This window comes from Homo sapiens, chromosome X (genome assembly GCF_000001405.40).
Source record: "Homo sapiens chromosome X, GRCh38.p14 Primary Assembly".
Taxonomy (NCBI): Eukaryota; Metazoa; Chordata; class Mammalia; order Primates; family Hominidae; genus Homo; species Homo sapiens.
In genome coordinates this window covers 14,666,513-14,687,525 of record NC_000023.11, presented here as the reverse complement: position 1 = coordinate 14,687,525, position 21,013 = coordinate 14,666,513, and the positions used below count along the sequence as shown (strand labels likewise).

The window sequence follows — 21,013 nt, the reverse complement described above, 5'->3', positions numbered from 1 at the left end:
CTTAGAGAAAAAAGAGTAAAAAGAAATGAACAAAGCCTCCAAGAAATATGAGACTATGTGAAAAGACCAAATCTGCATCTGATTGGTGTACCTGAAAGTGACGAGGATAATGGAACCAAGTTGGAAAACACTCTTCAGGATATTATCCAGGAAAACATCCCCAACCTAGCAAGGCAGGCCAACATTCAAATTCAGGAAATACAGAGAATGCCACAAAGATACTCCTCGAGAAGAGCAACGCCAAGACAGGTAACTGTCAGATTCACCAAAGCTGGAATGAAGGAAAAAATGTTAAGGGCAACCAAAGAGAAAGGTCGGGTTACCCACAAAGGGAAGCCCATCAGACTAACAGCAGATCTCTTGGCAGAAACTCTACAAGCCAGAAGAGAGTGGGGAAAAATATTCACTATTCTTAAAGGAAAGAATTTTCAACCCAGAATTTCATATCCAGCCAAACTAAGCTTCATAAGTAAAGGAGAAATAAAATCCTTTACAGACAAGCAAATGTTGAGAGATTTTGTCACCACAAGGCCTGCCCTAAAAGAGCTCCTGAAGGAAGCACTAAACATGGAAAGGAACAACTAGTACCAGCCACTGCAAAAACAAAGACCATCGAGGCTAGGAAGAAGCTGCATCAACTAACGAGCAAAATAACCAGCTAACATCATAATGACAGGATCAAATTCACACATGACAATATTAACCTTAAATGTAAATGGGCTAAATGCTCCAATTAAAAGACAAAGACTGGCAAATTGGATTAAGAGTCAAGACCCATCAGTGTGCTGTATTCAGGAGACCCATCTCACATGCAGAGACACACATAGGCTCAAAATAAAGGGATGGAGGAAGATCTACGAAGCAAATGGAAAACAAAAAAAAGGCAGGACTTGCAATCCTAGTCTCTCATAAAACAGACTTTAAACCAACAAAGATCAAAAGAGAAAAAGAAGGCCATTACATAATGGTAAAGGGATCAATTCAACAAGAAGAGCTAAGTGTCCTAAAGATATATGCACCCAACACAGGAGCACCCAGATTCATAAAGCAAGTCCTTAGAGATCTACAAAGAGACTTAGACTCCCACACAATAATAATGGGAGACTTTAACACCCCACTATCAACATTAGAAAGGTCAACGAGACAGAAAGTTAACAAGGATATCCAGGAATTGAACTCAGCTCTGCACCAAGCAGACCTAATAGACATCTACAGAACTCTCCACCCCAAATCAAAAGAATATACATTCTTCTCAGCACCACATCACACTTATTCCAAAATTACTTCCACATAGTTGGAAGTAAAGCACTCCTCAGCAAATGTAAAAGAACAGAAATCATTACAAACTGTCTCTCAGACCACAGTGCAATCAAACTAGAACTCAGGATTAAGAAACTCACTCAAAACTACACAACTACATGGAAACTGAACAACCTGTTCCTGAATGACTACTGGGTACATAACGAAATGAAGGCAGAAATAAAGATGTTCTTTGAAACCAATGAGAACAAAGACACAACATACCAGAATCTCTGGGACACATTTAAAGCAGTGTGTAGAGGGAAATTTATAGCACTAAATGCCACAAGAGAAAGCAGGAAAGATCTAAAATTGACAACCTAACATCACAATTAAAAGAACTAGAGAAGCAAGAGCAAACACATTCAGAAGCTAGCAGAAGGCAAGAAATAACTGAGATCAGAGCAGAACTGAAGGAGATAGAGACACAAAAAACCCTTCAAAAAATCAATGAATCCAGGAGCTGGTTTTTTGAAATGATCAACAAAATTGATAGACCACTAGGAAGACTAAGAAGAAAAGAGAGAAGAATCAAATAGACGCAATAAAAAATGACAAAGGGGATATCACCACCGATCCCACAGAAATACAAACTACCATCAGAGAATACTATAAACACCTCTACGCAAGTAAACTAGAAAATCTAGAAGAAATGGTTAAATTCCTGGACACATACACCCTCCCAAGACAAAACCAGGAAGAAGTTGAATCCCTGAATAGACCCATAACAGGCTCTGAAATTGAGGCAATAATTAATAGCCTACCAACCAAAAAAAGTCCAGGACCAGATGGATTCACAGCCGAATTCTACCAGAGGTACAAAGAGGAGATGGTACCATTCTTTCTGAAACTATTGCCATCAATAGAAAAAGAGGGAATCCTCCCTAAGTCATTTTATGAGGCCAGCATCGTCCTGATACCAAAGCCTGGCAGAGACACAACAAAAAAAGAGAATTTTAGACCAATATCCCTGATGAACATCGATGCAAAACTCCTCAATAAAATACTGGCAAACCGAATCCAGCAGCACATCAAAAAGCTTACCCACCATGATCAAGTGGGCTTCATCCCTGGGATGCAAGGCTGGTTCAACATATGCAAATCAATAAATGTAATCCAGCGTATAAATGGAACCAAAGACAAAAACCACATGATTATCTCAATAGATGCAGAAAAGGCCTTTGACAAAATTCAACAACCCTTCATGCTAAAAACTCTCAATAAATTAGGTATTGATGGGACATATCTCAAAATAATAAGAGCTATCTATGACAAACCCACAGCTAATATCATACTGAATGGGCAAAAACTGGAAGCATTCCCTTTGAAAACTGGCACAAGACAGGGATGCCCTCTCTCACCACTCCTATTCAACATAGTGTTGGAAGTTCTGGCCAGGGCAATCAGGCAGGAGAAGGAAATAAAGGGCTTTCAATTAGGAAAAGAGGAAGTCAAATTGTCCCTGTTTGTAGATGAGATGATTTTATCTTTAGAAAACCCCATGGTCTCAGCCAAAAATCTCCTTAAGCTGATAAGCAACTTCAGCAAAGTCTCAGGATACAAAATCAATGTGCAAAAATCACAAGCATTCTTATACACCAGTAACAGACAAACAGAGCCAAATCATGAGTGAACTCCCATTCACAATTGCTTCAAAGAGAATAAAATACCTAGGAATCCAGTTCACAAGAGATATGAAGGACCTGTTCAAGGAGAACTACAAACCACTGCTCAATGAAATAAAAGAGGACACAAACAAATGGAAGAACATTCCATGCTCATGGATAGGAAGAATCAATATCCTGAAAATGGCCATACTGCCCAAGGTAATTTATAGATTCAATGCCATCCCCAATCAAGCTACCAATGCCTTTCTTCACAGAATTGGAAAAAACTACTTTAAAGTTCCTATGGAACCAAAAAAGAGCCTGCATCGCCAAGTCAATCCTAAGCCAAAAGAACAAAGCTGGAGGCATCACCCTACCTGACTTCAAACTATACTACAAGGCTACAGTAACCAAAACAGCATGGTACTGGTACCAAAACAGAGATCTAGACCAATGGAACAGAACGGAGCCCTCAGAAATAATACCACACATCTACAACCATCTGATCTTTGACAAACCTGGCAAAAACAAGAAAAGGGGAAAGGATTCCCCATTTATTTATTTATTTTTTAGTTTTTTATTTTTGAAACCCAAGTTTTACTATTCTGTACATTCACGTAGCAAAATCCCATCAAATTAATGTCATAGACATTATAGGCCCATAATAAAATTCTTAGCTAAGAATTCTCCATGGCCCTACTGATTCTGCTTTTTTTTTTATTATTATACTTTAAGTTTTAGGGTACATGTGCACAATGTGCAGGTTAGTTACATATGTATACATGTGCCATGCTGGTGCACTGCATTAAATAGGATTCCCTATTTAATAAATGGTGCTGGGAAAATTGGCTAGCCATATGTAGAAAGCTGAAACTGGATCCCTTCCTTACACCTTATACAAAAATCAATTCAAGATGGATTAAAGACTTAAATGTTAGACCTAAAACCATAAAGACCCTAGAAGGAAACCTAGGCAATACCATTAGGACATAGGCATGGGCAAGGACTTCATGTCTACAACACCAAAAGCAATGGCAACAAAAGCCAAAATTGACAAATGGGATCTAATTAAACTAAAGAGCTTCTGCACAGCAAAAGAAACTACCATCAGAGTGAACAGGCAACCTACAGAATGGGAGAAAATTTTTGCAATCTACTCATCTGACAAAGGGCTAATATCCAGAATCTACAATGAACTCAAACAAATTTACAAGAAAAAAACAACCCCATCAACAAATGGGCAAAGGACATGAACAGACACTTCTCAAAAGAAGACATTTATGCAGCCAACAGACACATGAAAAACTGCTCATCATCACTGGCCATCAGAAAAATGCAAATCAAAAGCACAATGAGATACCATCTCACACCAGTTAGAATGGCCATCATTAAAAAGTCAGGAAACAACAGGTGCTGGAGAGGATGTGGAGAAATAGGAACACTTTTACACTGCTGGTGAGACTGTAAATTAGTTCAACCATTGTGGAAGACAGTGTGGCGATTCCTCAAGGATTTAGAACTAGAAATACCATTTGACCCAGCCACCCCATTACTGGGTATATACCCAAAGGATTATAAATCATGCTTCTATAAAGACACATGCACACGTATGTTTATTGCGGCACTATTCACAATAGCAAAGACTTGGAACCAACTCAAATGTCCATCAATGATAGACTGGATTAAGAAAATGTGGCATATATACACCATGGAATACTATGCAGCCATAAAAAAGGATGAGTTCATGTCCTTTGTAGGGACATGCATGAAGCTGGAAACCATCATTCTCAGCAAACTGTTGCAAGGACAAAAAACCAAACACCGCATATTCTCACTCATAGGTGAGAATTGAACAATGAGAACACTTGGACACAGGAAGGGGAACATCACACACCGGGGCCTGTCGTGGGGTGGGGGGAGGGGGAAAGGAAAGCATTAGGAGATATACGTAATGTAAATGATGAGTTATCGGGTGCAGCACACCAACATGGCACATGTATACATATGTAACAAACCTGCACGTTGTGCACATGTACCCTAGAACTTAAAGTATAATTAAAAAAAAAAAGATTTTAAAATAGTTTCAAACACAGAATAAGTCCTTATAAATGTTTGCAATTATTTGGCCATAGAAGGGTGTGATTTTGTTAATGGATAAATTTTGGAAGAGACAAAAATTAATAAGGAACATAAAACTCACCCACAATCATAATATATTCTAATTATTATTTTTAAGATCACCACCTGCCTTACACTATTTGTCTAAAACAATCTGAAGTACTTGTATCAGTTCCACATGTGTTGTGATAAAATGATCTAGCACTTTATCTCCAGTCTTTTAAACATATTATTCTTCCTACCTGGGATGGTTATTCCCACTCCTTCTGATTAATAGATGCCTCAGAATTCTTTAGGACTTAGCCAAGATATCAATTCCCCTGGGAATATCCCGACCTTTCCCCTTTCTCTCATCTGAGTTAGGGGCCATGTTTCTTTGTTCCCTTATCACTCTCTATTGAACTTATCTGTTCCTTCTTAGCCCACTTTTTACATGGAAGATGTCCCTCATCTCACTCAACTTACAATTTTATATATATTTATATATATACACACACACACACACATACATATATAAATACATATATACACACATAAATATACATATATAGACACACACACATATATATACATATATATATATATATATATTTTTTTTTTTTTTTTTTTTGAGATGGTGTCTCGCACTGTTGCCCAGGCTGGAGTGCAGTGGCGCGATCTCGGCTCACTGCAGCCTCTGCCTCCCAGGATCAAATGATTCTCCTGCCTCAGCCTGCCGAGTAACTGGGATTACAGGCACGTGCCACCACACCTGGCTAACTTTTGTATTTTTTAGTAGAGACAGGGTTTCACCATGTTGCCCAGGCTGGTCTCAAACTGCTGACCTCAAATGATTTGCCCATCTCAGCCTCCTAAAGTGCTGGAATTACAGGCGTGAGCCACTGTGCCCGGCCAGTTATATTTTAAAGTATTCCCTGACCCTACTCTTAGACTGTAGGTTTATTTTTTTGTTTTCGTTTTTAGTTTAGGCCCTGTGCAGTATTACTTTGTATCACCAGCACAGGACCTAGCAAATAGTGCATAGGCAGTAGTTATGTGGGATGGATAGATGGATTGGTGGATAAATACATGGTGGATGGATCTATGATGGATGGACTGATGGTTGAATGAATGAATGAATTGAATGAAAGAAGGAAGGAAGGAAGAAAGCAAGGAAGGAAAGGAAGGAAATATCTAGCTATTTTTGCATCTTTGTGCTTTAATTTAAACAGTTATGAATGATATACTGTTACCCACGATTGTATATATTTGATACTTCTAAGAGTGTACTATTAGTGAGTTTTTATTCTCTTAGCTCGCCTAACATTCCTGGAACATTTGCTTCCTTAATAGTTTGTCTTGTATTTGCTCTTCTGGAACACCAACATGGCACATGTATACATATGTAACAAACCCGCACGTTGTGCACCTTTAACCTAGAACTTAAAGTATAATTAAGTTATACTATTTTCCTGTAATAATAGAACATTACCAATCACAGCATTTCCAGTTATATATTATTCACATGGCCCATAAATGTTTTAAGACCCAATAATGAGAGGAATGTGTTAATGCCCGAGATATGTGCCTACCAAGAGCTAAGTCCAGTAGAGCTGACCATCATTCCTCCTCTTCCTGGTGTTTACAGCATTCAGTAATTTATACACCTTTTCCCCATCTTCTAGCAATCAGCAGACCAAGCTCATATTTGGCTTCTTTTTCAGCTGCTCACAAATGAGTCCTTTCAGTCTCTTAATCATTTTGGTTGCTCTCTGAGTTTCCTCCAAATCATGAACATCTTTCCAGCATTGAAGTGCTGGCATTAAATGCATTATTCACATGGATTTAGAGGGTGTTGTGAGACATCTATCACATATGATGTGATGTTCCTTGGTGCTGGTTTCTCAGAACTGAAATGCCTTTTTGTTGCTTTTACCCAGCTCTGATGTCAGATTCTCTTCTTTCAGCTGCTAATCCTTAGATGTTTTGAGCTCACATCTTCCCCTGTTACATTATTTTTATGATTCTTGGGCTTACAAGATTCCTTCTTGAACTACTTTACTACAAACTTGCAAGATAGTTTTAAAAGGTAATGAAGTTCTCAAAGTGCTGTTATGATTAACTAAGTTGGTATCTTTTCAGGCATAGCATATTTAATTCAGAAAAACAAAAACAAACATTGAGAGCATACTACATTGAAGGCTCTACTAGGTGCTGGTGGGAAATGGGGTAAAAGATACAAAGATGACTAAGAAGTATATTAATTCTCCCCAGGACTTCCCAGATTATATTTCAGGGGACCCCACTCATGCTGTGCTCTAGAAAGTATCATTCACATAGATCATGGAGCAGCATATTATAGTCCATGGATCAAATTCAGTCCACTGCCTGTTTTATAAATAAAGTTTTATTTGAAGACAGCCATATTCATTCATTTACATATTGTCTGTGGATACTTTTGAACTAAAATGGTACAGTTGAGTAGTTGTGACAGAAACCAAATGGCCACAAAGCCTAAAATACCATATGGCTCTTTACAGAAAACATTTTCCAGCCTCTGACCTAGACTTTAGTGTTATCTTGTTTTTCTTGGGGTTGTACATCTTAGTGGCCCTGCTTCACCACTTAAGAATCCCATGGTCTACTGAGGGAAACAGTCACATGAACATATAAGTGATATAAAGTAGATGGTTCCACATGACAAAGTAAAGGAAGGACAAAAAGTCGGTAGAATACGGGGAGGTTAATATCGATGGAAAAATCAGTAAAGGCTTTATTCCTAGGTGGTGTAGCACTTGTTTTAGGCTTGAGGAGAGCCAGGTCTTTGGTGGGTAGAAGAAGCTGTAAAATCAAAGCTGTAAAGATGGGAGAGAGTATGGTGGTCTTGCGAATAATGAGCAACCCAGTGACCGGGATATGCTGGGCACCTGGGAGTTAACGGTGAGGGGTGGACAGTTAGGCTGGGCTGGCAAAAGAAGGCATTGAAAGCCAAGCTGATAGGTTTGGGGTTTCAAAAATTTGTAAAGATAAGCTAATGATGGTTTTGAGGTGGAGTATAGATGTATAAGGTGTCTTTTTCTTTTCTTTTTTTTTTTAACAATCATCATGATGCTCTTTGCCTCTGATGAAAGCAAGAGTCTTAGCAAAGTAGACATTATCCTCCTTATGGAAATTTACCTTCCGTCTTCTTGGCACTTTCACCTCTATATAGGTTGGTTCTCTTCTAGGCTCTCCAACATCTCTGAATCATCTGATCTTCCTTACTCTCTTTGGGACATCTTATTCCATTTGGTATTTCCATTTCTTGAACTCTCCTCCTCAGTTTTCACTCTATCTTCATATCCTCAATGAATTAATCCACTCCTATAGCTTTCTTCTTATTTCTGTGTGTCAGGGTGGTGGTGGTGGTGGTGGTGGTGGTGTGTATGTTGAGCGCTATAACAGAGACTGGCTATATTCTTCTAAATTTCATTTCCTCTACCAGTAAGCTGGATTTGCCACTTCTTTTGGATCCTCCATGGAATGTAGGCAGAAGTTACACATGTTAGGACCGCTAAAATCTTCCATGAGGCCCTTAAGACTATACCTTCTGCAGCCACCTTAGATGTCACCGGTTTAAGATGGCAGTGCCGTAAGATGGAAGAAGGCTGGATCCCCAAAAGACCTAGGGCCACCAACCCCATAGTAGAGTTTAATGTGAGTGAGAAGGAAATTTTTATTTTGTCAAGCTACAGGAATAAGAAGAAAGCTATAGGAGTGGATAAATTCATTGAGGATATGAAGGTTTTGTGTTTCCAAAGCTCTCAAATTATTCCCTCAGCCCTGACCTCACAGCAGCATTCTGTGATAATACTAAAATAGCTAGTTAGTATTTGCAAAATTAAACATATTAAATGCCACCTCCTTCTTATTCATCTCATTTAAATCTTTCTTCTCACTAGCAACCTGGTTTTACCACTGTTTCCCCCTCCATTGTCTTCATCTCTAATACTCAATCTATTGCACAGACTCAACATTTCTCTCTGTAAAGCAATCCTGGGTTTACTCTTTACTCTCTCCATTCCAAAGATGTCACTTTAATCCTATCCATCAACACCTAATGCCTGGTTATTATAACAACTTCCTAACCAGTCCCCCTGCATTCAGTTCTTCCCCATGGCACCTAGTCTTTTGCTTCTGTGAAATTAAATTTAAAACACCAATTTCATTTTGAAACACATCTGCTTAGGAATTACTGTGGCTGCCTATTGCAGTCTCTGGTATTCAAGGCCTCGCACAGCATGTGTCTACCCTAGTTAATCAATCTTATTGCACTCTTTCATAACACAAGCTTGGTGTTTTGTTTAAACAATTTTGCTTAGCCCTGAGTAAGCCAAATCCATTCCCACTGATGACTTTGTCTACACCAGTAGTTCCTAAATGAGGTTGACTTTTCACTCCAGGGGACATTTGGCAACGTCTGGAGATATTTTTGATTGTCACAACCAGGGAGCAGTGCTATTGGCATCTGGTAGTTGAGGTCACGGATGCTTCTAAACATCCTATTATGCACAGGACAGCATCCAAAACAAAGACTTATCCAGTCGAAATGCTAATAATTCTGAGGTTGGAAAACCCTGAGAGAGAGAAAGCAAAAACAAAAACAAACAAACAAAAAACCGAGGTAACTATATCCAGTCCAGTGGTTCTCAACCAGAAGTGATGTTGCTCTGAAGAACATTCAGCAGTGCCAGAAGATGTTTTTGGTTGTTCCATCTGGGAAGTAAAGAGTTGCTCTGGTTTCTAGTGGGTTGAGGCCAGGGATGCTGTTAAATACCCAACAATGCAAAGGACAGCTCTTTATGACAAATAATTACCCAGTCCCAAATGTTAATAGTGTTATAAGGTGGAAAAACCCTGGTCTACACTCTTCTCCCAGCATAGAAACATTTCCCACATTTTATATCTGTTTATTTCCAGATAATTCTTCAAGGAGTAGACCAAATTCCATCCCCAAGGTGATAATTTCTTTGCCTATTCTAGCCCACGGTCGTCTTGCCCATCTTTAGAATTTGTAACGCACTTAAAGATAGAATCATCCAGTTTAGTCTTCGCTTCATGCATATGTGTTTTATCCACCCAACTAAAGTATAGGATACTTGGGGGAATATAGATCCAGTAATGTCTTCTGTATCCATGCCACCAAGGACAAGTTTTTGTGCATATAGTAAGTGTCCCTGTAAGTTTTTGTTGACTGTCAAATTTTCCAAGTGCTATATAAATTCAAATTCCTTTCACAATTATTGCTTTATATAAAGGGTAAGCTACAAAAAAAAAAGACAACTAAAAAGAAGAAAAATGTAGTTTTGGTCTTTTAGAGATGATAGTTGTTGATATCCAAATTACTCTGGATTTATTTTCATTAACGGAAAGGAGAATACTTATTATTTAGATGACTTTATAACTTATGTAGTTTGCAAATATATCTGGCGGGAAAGTAGAACCAGTCAAGTGGTTTAGAGTTTCATGGTGCTAGATAAGCATTTATCTGTTGTTTGAACAGATAAGTGAGATGGTGGAATTTGGTTAGTTGCTCAGTTGTTTCGCATTGTATAGACATTTCTTAGAGGTGTTTCCCATTAATATTCTTTTTAATACTGTCTTGGCATTTTTGAAAACTTTGGCAAGTTTTATTGAGTCAATTTTTTTCATGAATTACATCATTAGTTCAGTTTCAAAGTAGAAAATCAAGTCATGAATTTATTTACTTTAGCCCCACAATTTGTTTTGTCTGTGTTCAGACACTGTACTGTTTCCTGTGCCATGAAGCCAGTTGATGTTATTGGTTGGGACATTTTCTACATGATGTTTATCCCCAGGACAGAAGAATGAGTCACCATTGTACAAGGATTACTTGAATGTCCTTACAGCTTGGATACCCTCTCCATTCCTCATGGGCAAGGCACTTCCATGTGATAATGTGCCAACTAAAGTATATTCACATTCCCAGCCCCTAGGCTGACCCCAGAGAACTGCGACATTCCTCCAGCAGCTAATCAAGGAGGATTGCTAATGAATGTGTACAGAGAGCAGTTCACTACAGTGGAGAAAAAATCACAAATGACTATGATCAAGTGTTGTTTTGTAATAGAAAAGAAACAAAATGAAATTCATAGGGCAATCTCAAAATATTCAGATATTCCTTCTTTAAGTGGAATGATTCCTCATATCCACCTGCTTGAGTCAATGTTTAATTATTCTCCACAATATATCCATGTAACAAAATTGCACTTGTGCCACTTACATTTATACAAATAAAAATGTTTAATTATTCTCAAACTATGCCTGAAAACTATTGGTAAAGCAGAATAGTTTTCTGTACAGTACAATTTCATTTTATCTAATTTATATGTGGAAAATATGTAATTAACCTTGATTAATGCAGCTGTTGAAATGAGAGATAACTGTTGGCCACAGTAGCCTGAGATGTGTTTCTGTTACATAAAATAGAAGGCTTTGGTAACTCCAATCAACTTATCTTTTATTGAGTGCTATAAAGTATACCATCATGCTTTCCATTCCCATTTTGGGGGGAAATTAGTTTATTAAATGCATATCTAAACTTTATATAGCTAGTAATTAACAGAGGTGGGAATGAGAATTCTGGCTTTGCTTTTTCTGTTTGATCTCTTACCTATATTCAGTAACTGTATCACGAGAAAAAAATATAGTCAAGTTAATCCTGGTGCCAAAGATTCATGGTGCTGTACAATTTCATGTTTATAGTTTCACTGCCAAGTTGCCATTTTTATTGCCTAATTAAGGAGCTCACACCTGCCATTTAATGCTGGGGAAATCAGATTTCCTTGGCAGAGATGGATGATGACAGCACTGACTACCTGGCCCATCCCAGTGTCACCACCCTCACCCCATTTTCTCTCCATATCTAATATTGTTGAGTTCTATACTGAGTAGTTGAGTAAAGAGTTACTTATTAAAGTGCTGTTTGCAGAAACAGACACTGAGTGGCAATGCCTCCAAGCCTGGTATCTGCAGGAACCACCCAATTATAAATGGACCTTTGGGGACCAATTAGTTTGTTGGGCATTGGACGGTACACAGGCCTAGTGAGTTGATATTCTTTCCAAAGATGAATACATTTCTCTCCATTATGGTGGTCAGAAAATTGTTTAAAGTAGCTTGCCAAAACTTACTATCCGTGTGAGTTTCATGAGTGGAGAGGTACAAGAAGAGTAAAACTGCCAGCCCTAGAATACACAAGCAACACCAGGTGATATCCATTGTTAGAGGCACCATAGGGACACTCTGCAGAAAGGCACCTCTAAGTCTCAGCCTCCTGCAAATGTAGGCATCTGAGAGAGTCAAGGTGAAGGAGGGGTTAGCATCTGGAGGAAGTAGGGCAATGCAGCATCTTCTTCCCTGTGCTTATGTCTGCCACGTCACTACATTTTTGGCTGATAGACAAGCACATTGATTCCTGCCATAGTCTACTTCCTGTGCCTGCACCTTCAGTGACAAAACAAGTGATGTATGTTTATTATCTAACAAGGGCAGGAATAAGGGGGAAGTGGGGATTCGGAACAAATTGCCCACTGGTGGAAAAACAATCTCAATGAAGAAAAGACCCAATTGGGTGATCTCAGTATTGGAAAGACAACAATGGGCTTTGGGGAGATGATGAGATGATGCTTCACTTAATAAATGTTTGTGTAGTCAGAGAGTGTGTGTGTTTGTGTGTGTGTGCATGGGAGAGAGAGAGAGAAAAGGAGAAAGAAAGAGAAGAGAAAAACTGGGAGACTATGAAGATATGGAAGAAAGAAAAAAAAGGAAAAATAATGAATATTTTTGAAGCTAGACCAACTTGGATTTGAATCCTAGGTGAATGACCAATGAATTTGGAAAAATTACTTAACCTTTTTGAATCTTGATTTCTTCATATCAAAGTAGGGGCCCACACATTCCAGTTTCATGGGGTCATTGAAGGATTGAATAAGATACTTTATATAAAACTTAACACTCATTTGGCAGATTGTAGATTCTCAGACACATTGGCTTGTAAGGGATGAGCCCCTGAAGACACTGCATAATTCAAAACTTGCATAATTCAAGGCAGTTTTCCCCACAGGAATAATGTAAAGTAAAATATCTTGTATTTGATGTTTTGTGCATGGACTAAGACTTTGTTAGTATTTTTATATTGCTTTGCTTTAAATTCACATAATCTAAGTTCACATAAATGGAACTTCATTGCAGTGAGCACTCCTGTATATCATGGGGACTGATATATGCTGTTACAAAAAGAAAACAGAACAAAATCACCACCACCACTATCATCAACAAAAAGCTTACACCACCACCATTCTATGAGTTATCTCCATTATAAGGATAAGGAAGCTGAGTTCACTCATTAACTTTACCAAGATCACACAGCAAAAGAATAGTTGAGCTGCGATTTGCATTAAATCTGGCTTGACTCCAAATTCTGTGCTTTTCTGCCTCACTGACCCCTGTGGGAACCTCCCTCTCTGGCGATGAGTCAGAAGAATTACTCACAGACTGTGCTTACACCAGATGACAACATCTGATGTGGAAAAGAGGTGAGAAGGTACATGCAGTGGGACTGGCAAGCAAGAAACAACAGTAGCACTGTCACACCTGCAGCCATGGACATACTGTGAAGATAAGTGTTCATAGATGGCAGATAACCGCAATCTTCATTTGTTTTCTCAGTCAGCAATTAGTGCCTCGACTACTTGTATACTATTTGTGCATTTACTCCCTACCCTAACCCAGGTTCAAAATTCATACTTACAAGCAAGGAAATAAAAGAGGGAAGTTTAATAACTGTTATTTGGAAAGGCCTTGGAATGGTGGGTAAGGTTTATAGTGATGGGTAGAGGAATATGGAAGAGCTGACAGGTCTCCACTCCCTGGACTGAGCTTGTTGGTTTATGATTTCCAAGTTGCCTATGCCTCCTATAGTGGGATGAGGAGCCAAATCAGGAAGGAAGCAGTGGCCAAACCTTTCACCCCTGACCATTTCTCAAACTCAGAACCTTACCAGAGTGAGTGGGTGTACCTGTGTTAAGTGACTATGTGCAGATGCGTCATCATCTCATAACAATTATGGATGATGTACTCCTGAGATGAACAGTGGGTAAGATATGTAGGGAATGGGTGATTCTGGAGTACAAAATAGAGGCAGTCTTAGAAGCCCAGTTCAAGTTGCAGTGATGGAGAAATCATTTCCTCAGAATACCTAGAATCTTGTGATAACTCCAGGATACAAAGAGGCCCCTTCTGGTGCTGAACTTCTCCACCAATGCACCTGAACCCTCTGAGCACTGTGATGCTACATCCTGGGGATGAGAACAGGGATTCCTTTAGTGGAGGGCCATAGAGTATTTAATATATGAGAGTATAGTGTGAAATATGAATTTCAATTGAATGGTAGAGTCAGTGGTAGCCGAGAAGCTTTCCGACCCAGACTCTGGCTTGTGGACTGATTTAGTGTCAGCTCTGTACTTTAATGTGAGCTCACAGTGGAGGCTGCAGATCATCAAGGATGTCTCGATAGGAGCCAACTTGCCAGACACCTTCCCTTCTTGGCATGGCACTCTGGGCGCTCAAGCCTAGTGTGTTCTAACCTAAAGCTCTTGAAGTTAATCAGCTACCTACTGTTTCATACTATTCAAAGTGAAACTGAAATGGAAAAATTCCAGGCATCCACCACGCTCCAGGTTCCATGTGGGGAGGAGAAAACAAGAAAAGGAGCTACAGGTCAGTCAAAGGTTTGTAATTAATGTGGTTCAAAAGCTTCTGGCTGGGCTGTTGATCTCACTTTTTGTTAGTTATAAATTACCAAAGATTATGTCTCTACTGTATCCACTTCCTATAGTTGAGCAGCATTTTGATACAAGTCAGCTCCATTCCTTTCTCTTTAACAAAAAAACCAGAAGCACAAATCACCCATTAATAGTTAAATACCTATTTGCAATAGATACTAGCCTACAGGAGTCTGTAATGATTAAAAAGAAATCCTACTGCCTCTTGAGTAAAATGACATAAGTAGATGTGTAAGCTCTTTGAAGAAATAAAAGGCCATGCCATCAGATAGCATTATTATTTTTCAATATGGAAGTGTACAGAATGCTTAAAAGATAAAGTGTAAGTGTGAAAATATTTTGGTTGGGCTCATTGAGTGCCTCAGTTTCTAACATATCAGTTGCATACATCTGCTTCAGAAAGTTTAGATCAATCTCAGCCCCTTGGCGGAAATCAATCCAGTATGACTATCTAAAGTAAGAGAAAGCAGCAAGGCTGTGTTAGAGAGAGCCATGAGAAGATGCCAAAAATGTGGACCTCAGCTTTGCCACTGGCTCACATTGCAAATTTGGGCACATTATCTCACGATTTGGGGTCTCACACTCCCACTTGGGATATAAAAGGATCGGGCTGATAATTTTCAAGGGTTCTGCTATTCTAAGATTCTGTGACTCAAGGGAAATAAAAAGTGATGAGAGAGGAAACCACATCAATAGCAGTATGGGTTCCCAATGTCAAGGTGATCAGAGCTGTGAGTCCCAGTAACAGCCTTCAGGCCCTCTACTCTGCATTCTTAGCACTTTCAGTATCATCTGATAATGTCTATTCATTGAATGCCTCTATGTGCCAGGCAAGACTTGCCTAAAATAGTGAATTCCTTGCTTAGAAGCAAATAGTACTAATTCAGGAAAAACAATTGCATGTGCAATACTATGTGCATAGCAGATACACTGAGTTTACTTGCAGATTCAATGGACAATTCTCACATAAACCCTCAGCAACTCACCCCAAGCTCTGCTTTTCTGCCTAAGAGATTTCTCTGGTACCTTGGAAACTTTCTTGACATGCATGCAAGGAAGCCTAGAACACTACCAGGGGCAGTCCTCAACCATGGAAGGATGGGGGTTGGTGGATAAAGACCCTGGATTTCCTGGTACTTGTTGGGGCAATCTGAAGAGAATTCTACACAGTTTTTGGAGGATCCCTAGCATAATTGAACACTAGTTGTCCCTCATGGTAACCAACTCAATAATACACTTGTTTGCCTTTTCTCTTTTCACTATTTACATTCCACATTCTCTCTTGTCTTTCTTGTCACCATCTTTCAAATAAACTGCATCCAAATGCTTGTCACAGGGTCTGCAGTTTACTGAAACAAATGACTCAAACCCCAAATTAGATCAGGAGAGCCTATCACAAAAATGATGCCTGCCACATCATTGCCATTTAGAACCAGGATAGCAAAGAAACACATCCTGAAAATTTTTTTCTTACTAGCAAATATCCTATGCCTGGCTGGCTTGCCCATCACCAGTAAGAATGGAGTGTTGACATGAATCAAAAAACATTCTTCAAGCAGTAAGTACCAAATCAATTTAGGACCTATATTGCCCATATGATTTAACACCTATCACTTCCCTTTTTGCTCTGCACAGCTAGTTTTAAATTTATAAAATTAGAATAATGGAGCTGAAACAGAAACTAGTATTTCCTGTCTAATACTGTGCGAGAATCATTCAGCATATGCCAACTCTCCTGGGGTCAGATAATGAGAGCACCTTATTTGCAGAAATGTTATATAAATAATCTGTCCCACCCTGAGCTCCTTAGGAGGACAGAGTCACAGTTACATTTTGAGCCTATAAGGATGTGGATATTACGAAAGTACAAATTACTCCTGTTGACAGGACATCAGTTAGTTAAAGGTTTTAACAGTGATATGGTTTGGCTGTGTCCCCACCCAAATCTTATCTTAAATTTCCATGTGTTATGGGAGGGACCTGGTGGGAGGTAATTGAATCATGGGGGCAGGTCTTTCCCGTGCTGTTGTCATGATAGTGAATAAGTCTCGCGAGATCTGGTGGTTTTAAAAATGAGAGTTTCTCTGCACAAGCTCTCTTTTGCCTGCTGCCGTCCACATAAGATGTGACTTGCTTCTCCTTGCCTTCCACCATGATTGTGAGGCCTCCCCAGCCACGTGGGACTATAAGTCCATTAAACCTCTTTCTTTTCTAAATTGCCCAGTCTTAGATATGTCTTTATCAGCAGTGTGAAAACAAACTAATACAGTAAACTGGTACAATAGAGTGGGGTATTGCTGAAAAGATAGCCAAAAATATGGAAGTGACTTTGCAACTGGGTAACAGGCAGAGGTTGGAACAGTTTGGAGGGCTCAGAAGACAGGAAAATATAGGAAAGTTTGGAACTTCCTAGAGACTTGTTGAATGGCTTTGACAAAAATGCCGATAGTGATATGAACAATAAGGTCCAGGCTGAGGTGATCTCAGGTGGAGATAAGAAACTTGTTGGGAACCAGAGCAAAGGTGACTCTTATTATGTTTTAGCAAAGAGACTGGAGGCATTTTGCCCCTGGCCTAGAGATTTGTGGAACTTTGAACTTGAGAGAGATGATTTAGGGTATCTTGTAGAAGAAATTTCTAAGCAGCAAAGCATTCAAGAGGTGACTTCGGTGTGGTTAAAGGCATTCAGTTTCAAAAGGGAAACAGCATAAAAGTTTGGAAAATTTGCAGCCTGACAATGCAATAGAAAAGTAAATCCCATTTTCTGAGGAGAAATTCAAGCTGTCTGCAGAAATCTGCATAAGTCGAGGGGCCAAATATTAATCACCAAGACAATGAAGAAAATGTCTCCAGGGCATGTTGGAGACCTTTGCAGCAGCCCCTCCCATCACAGGCCCAGAGGCCTAGGAGGAAAATGTGGTTTCATGGGTTGGGCCTGGGGTCCCTGTGCTGTTTGCAGCATGCAGCCTTGGGACTTGGTGACCTGCATCCCAGCCATTCCAGCTGTGGCTGAAAGGGGCCAACATAGAGCTCAGGCTGTGGCTTCAGAGGGTGCAAGCCTCAAGCCTTGGCAGCTTCCACGTGGTGTTGAACCTGTGAGTGTACAAAAGTCAAGAACTGAGGTTTGGGAACCTAGATTTCAGAAGAGGTATAGAAACACCTGGATGCCCAAGCAGAAGTTTGCTGTAGGGTTGATGTTCTCATGGAGAACCTCTGCTAGGGCAGTGAAGAAGTGAAATGTGGGTTGGGAGCCCCCACACAGAGTCCCTACTGAGACACCACCTAGTGCACCTGTGAGAAGAGGGCCACCGTCCTTCCGACCCCAGAATGATAGCTCCACTGACAGCTTGTACTGTACACCTGGAAAAGCTGCAGACATTCAATGCCAGCCTGTGAAAATAGCCAGGAGGGAGGCTGTACCTTGCAAATCCACAGGGGCAGAGCTGCCTGAGACCATGGGAACCCATCTCTTGCATCAGAGTCACCTGGATGTGAGACATGGAGTCAAAGGAGATCATTTTGGGGCTTTAAGATTTGACTGCCCTGCTGAATTTTGGACTTGCATGGGGCCTGTAGCCCCTTTGTTTTGACCAATTTTTCCCATTTGGAATGGCTGTATTTGCCCAATGCCTGTATCCCGATTGTATCTAGGAAGTAACTAACTTGTTTTTGATTTTACAGGCTCATAGGTGGAAGGAACTTGCCTTGTCTCAGATGAGACTTTGGACTGTGGACTTTTGAGTTAATGGTGAAATGAGTTAAGACTTTGGGGGACTGTTGGGAAGGCATGATTGGTTTTGAAATGTGAGGACATGAGATTTAGAGGGGCTAGGGGCAGAATGATATGGTTTGGCTGTCTCCCCACCAAAAATTTCATCTTGAATTTCCACGTGTTGTGGGAGGGACCCAGTGGGAGGTAATTGAATCATGGGGGCAGGTCTTTCCCGTGCTATTCTCATGATAGTAAATAAGTCTCACGACATGTGATGATTTTAAAAATGGAAGTCTCCCTGCACAAGCTCTCTTCTCTTGTCTGCTGCCATGTGAGACGTGCCTTTCATCTTCTGCCATGGCTGTGAAGCCTCCCCTGCCACATGGAACTGTAAGTCAATTAAACCTCTTTCTTTTGTAAATTGCCCAGTCTTCAGTATGTCTTTGTCAGCAGTGTGAAAACGGACTAATACAAACAGCATTACACTAAAAGACCAATGCAGAGTTAGTTTTATTAAAATAGTGTGTGGTAGGCAGCCTTCTAAAATGGGCCCCAATGATTCGTGTCTCTTGGTATTCATGTGCTTGGATAATCTGCTCCCCTTGACTATGGGCTGACCTACTGACTTGTTTCTAACAAATACAATGTGTCAAAATTGATGGGATGTTACTTCCACAATTAGGTTATAAAAGACTGCCTTCCATCTTGCTTGCACTTTCTTTCGTGCTGGCACTCTCTTGCTGGCTCTTCTCATGTTGCCTTTGTGGAGAGGGCTACCTAGCAAGGAACTGAGGGTAGCATTCAGCCAATAGCCAGTGAAGAGCTGAGGCCTCAGTCTGACAGCACAGGAGGAACTGAATCTTGCCAACAACTATATGAGTGAGCTTTGGAAGTAGATCCTTCTCTAGTTGAGCCTTCATGTGAGACTACAGCCTTGGCTATGAAATCATGTGAGATTTCAGCCTTGTGGGAGACTCTGAAAGAGAGGTTCCAGCTGAGTTGTGCCTGGATTCCTAACCCATAGAAACTACAAGATAAAAATGCTCATAAAAACTGTAAGATTAAAATATTGTTTAAGCCACTAAAATCTGGCAGAAATTTGTTATGCAGCAATTGACAGTTAATATATGTTATCTTTGTTGTGGAGGAGAGAGAAAGAAATATAGATAGATAAAAAAGATGAGAAAAGGGAGATAAGTTGCTTATTTTGGGCCTCATGAATCCAGAATTTGGAAAAATTTGATTTTTTTTTCTTTACTATTTAAAGAGAAAAGTTCAGTTTAAAAATAATAAGCAAGGTATCTGGGAGGATAATTAATCAGTATAAGAGAAGAAAAACCATAATATATTCATTTTTAATCTATCCATTCAAGTAGGCTCCATGCTTGAACATGTATAAAAGTAGCTATTCAAAATCAGTTTACCTAAGCTGAAGTCCAGGAGTCATCAAACTACTGTCCATCAGTTAAATCTGTTCTGCTACTTGCTTTTGCAAATACAGTTTAATTAGAACAAAGCCATACCCATTCATTTACATATTCTCTATGGCTCTCTAGTGCCCACTTACCATGGTAGAGTTGAGTAGCTGCAACAGAGAACTTTAAGCCCAGAAAGCCTAAAATGTTATCTATTTATCTCTTTATAGAAAAAAAGTATTATGAATTACTGCTTTAATCCTATATTTTAATTCAAGCTAATCATTACCTAATATAGTCTGAATCAACAAATTTTCTCTAATTTTAATGATCATAAAAAGTAAAACTGGATAATTCATATCTTAAAACATTTAATTGTAAGGGTTTATTACGGAATCACTTAAATAAATTCTCATCTCAATTTCCACTTGTCATTGTATACACAGATATGGGGCCCCAAAATGAATTGCATATTTTCAGCAATAAGTCAACAAATCACCGTAGACTGTTCCTTGTGTGTGAAATGCTGAGAAGTATACAAAGATGATTAACATTTGGTTCCTGCCCTTGTGTAATCTGTTTTACAGAGGTAAATAAATACAAGAGAATAGATGATTGACTTGCACTCTATCAGTGCTGAGTTAGAGTGGTGATAAACCCTGTAAGCACTAGTATTGGACTTTGAGGGTCTAAATCCTGTCTTGCCTCTTCCTAGCTGTACAGTTTGGACACAATACTTAATGACTCTGTGCTTCAGTTTTCTCAGCTGAAAAATGAGGATAATAATGGAGCCCACCTAATAGGTTTGCTGTAAGTATTGAGATATCTGTGAAATAACAAGTAGGTAGTGCTTTAGAACTGGGCCTGGTACCTTGTAAATGCTCAAACATGTTAACTCTCATCATCATGGTGGAATTACCTTTTATACTTCTATCCGGCCATTAGAATCAATGCCCTGAGTGCTGCAAATTAGTTAGATTAATTAATAGTTTCATCCAATTTAGGATCTTCATTAAAGTTAAACGTGGGAGTCATTCT

General features: G+C 39.4%; 1 protein-coding gene across 8 annotated transcripts in view, besides 2 other annotated features; it reads right to left on the bottom strand.

The window, feature by feature from the left end:
* The window catches only part of GLRA2 (glycine receptor alpha 2), a 283,034-nt gene that overhangs the window by 44,287 nt on the left and 217,734 nt on the right, over positions 1-21,013 (bottom strand). The window lies entirely within an intron of this gene.
* Positions 13,143-14,342: an enhancer, noted in NCBI's record as "BRD4-independent group 4 enhancer chrX:14691306-14692505 (GRCh37/hg19 assembly coordinates)". NCBI's record gives its function as "activates an origin of replication core promoter dependent on BRD2, P300/CBP, MED14 and CDK7 cofactors, and independent of BRD4, by STARR-seq in HCT116 cells {active_cell/tissue: HCT116}" and the evidence as "EXISTENCE:reporter gene assay evidence [ECO:0000049][PMID:35650434]".
* Positions 13,405-13,699: an enhancer, noted in NCBI's record as "tiled region #3255; HepG2 Activating DNase matched - State 9:DNaseU, and K562 Activating non-DNase unmatched - State 24:Quies". NCBI's record gives its function as "activates a minimal TATA promoter and a strong SV40 promoter by Sharpr-MPRA in HepG2 and K562 cells {active_cell/tissue: HepG2 | K562}" and the evidence as "EXISTENCE:reporter gene assay evidence [ECO:0000049][PMID:27701403]".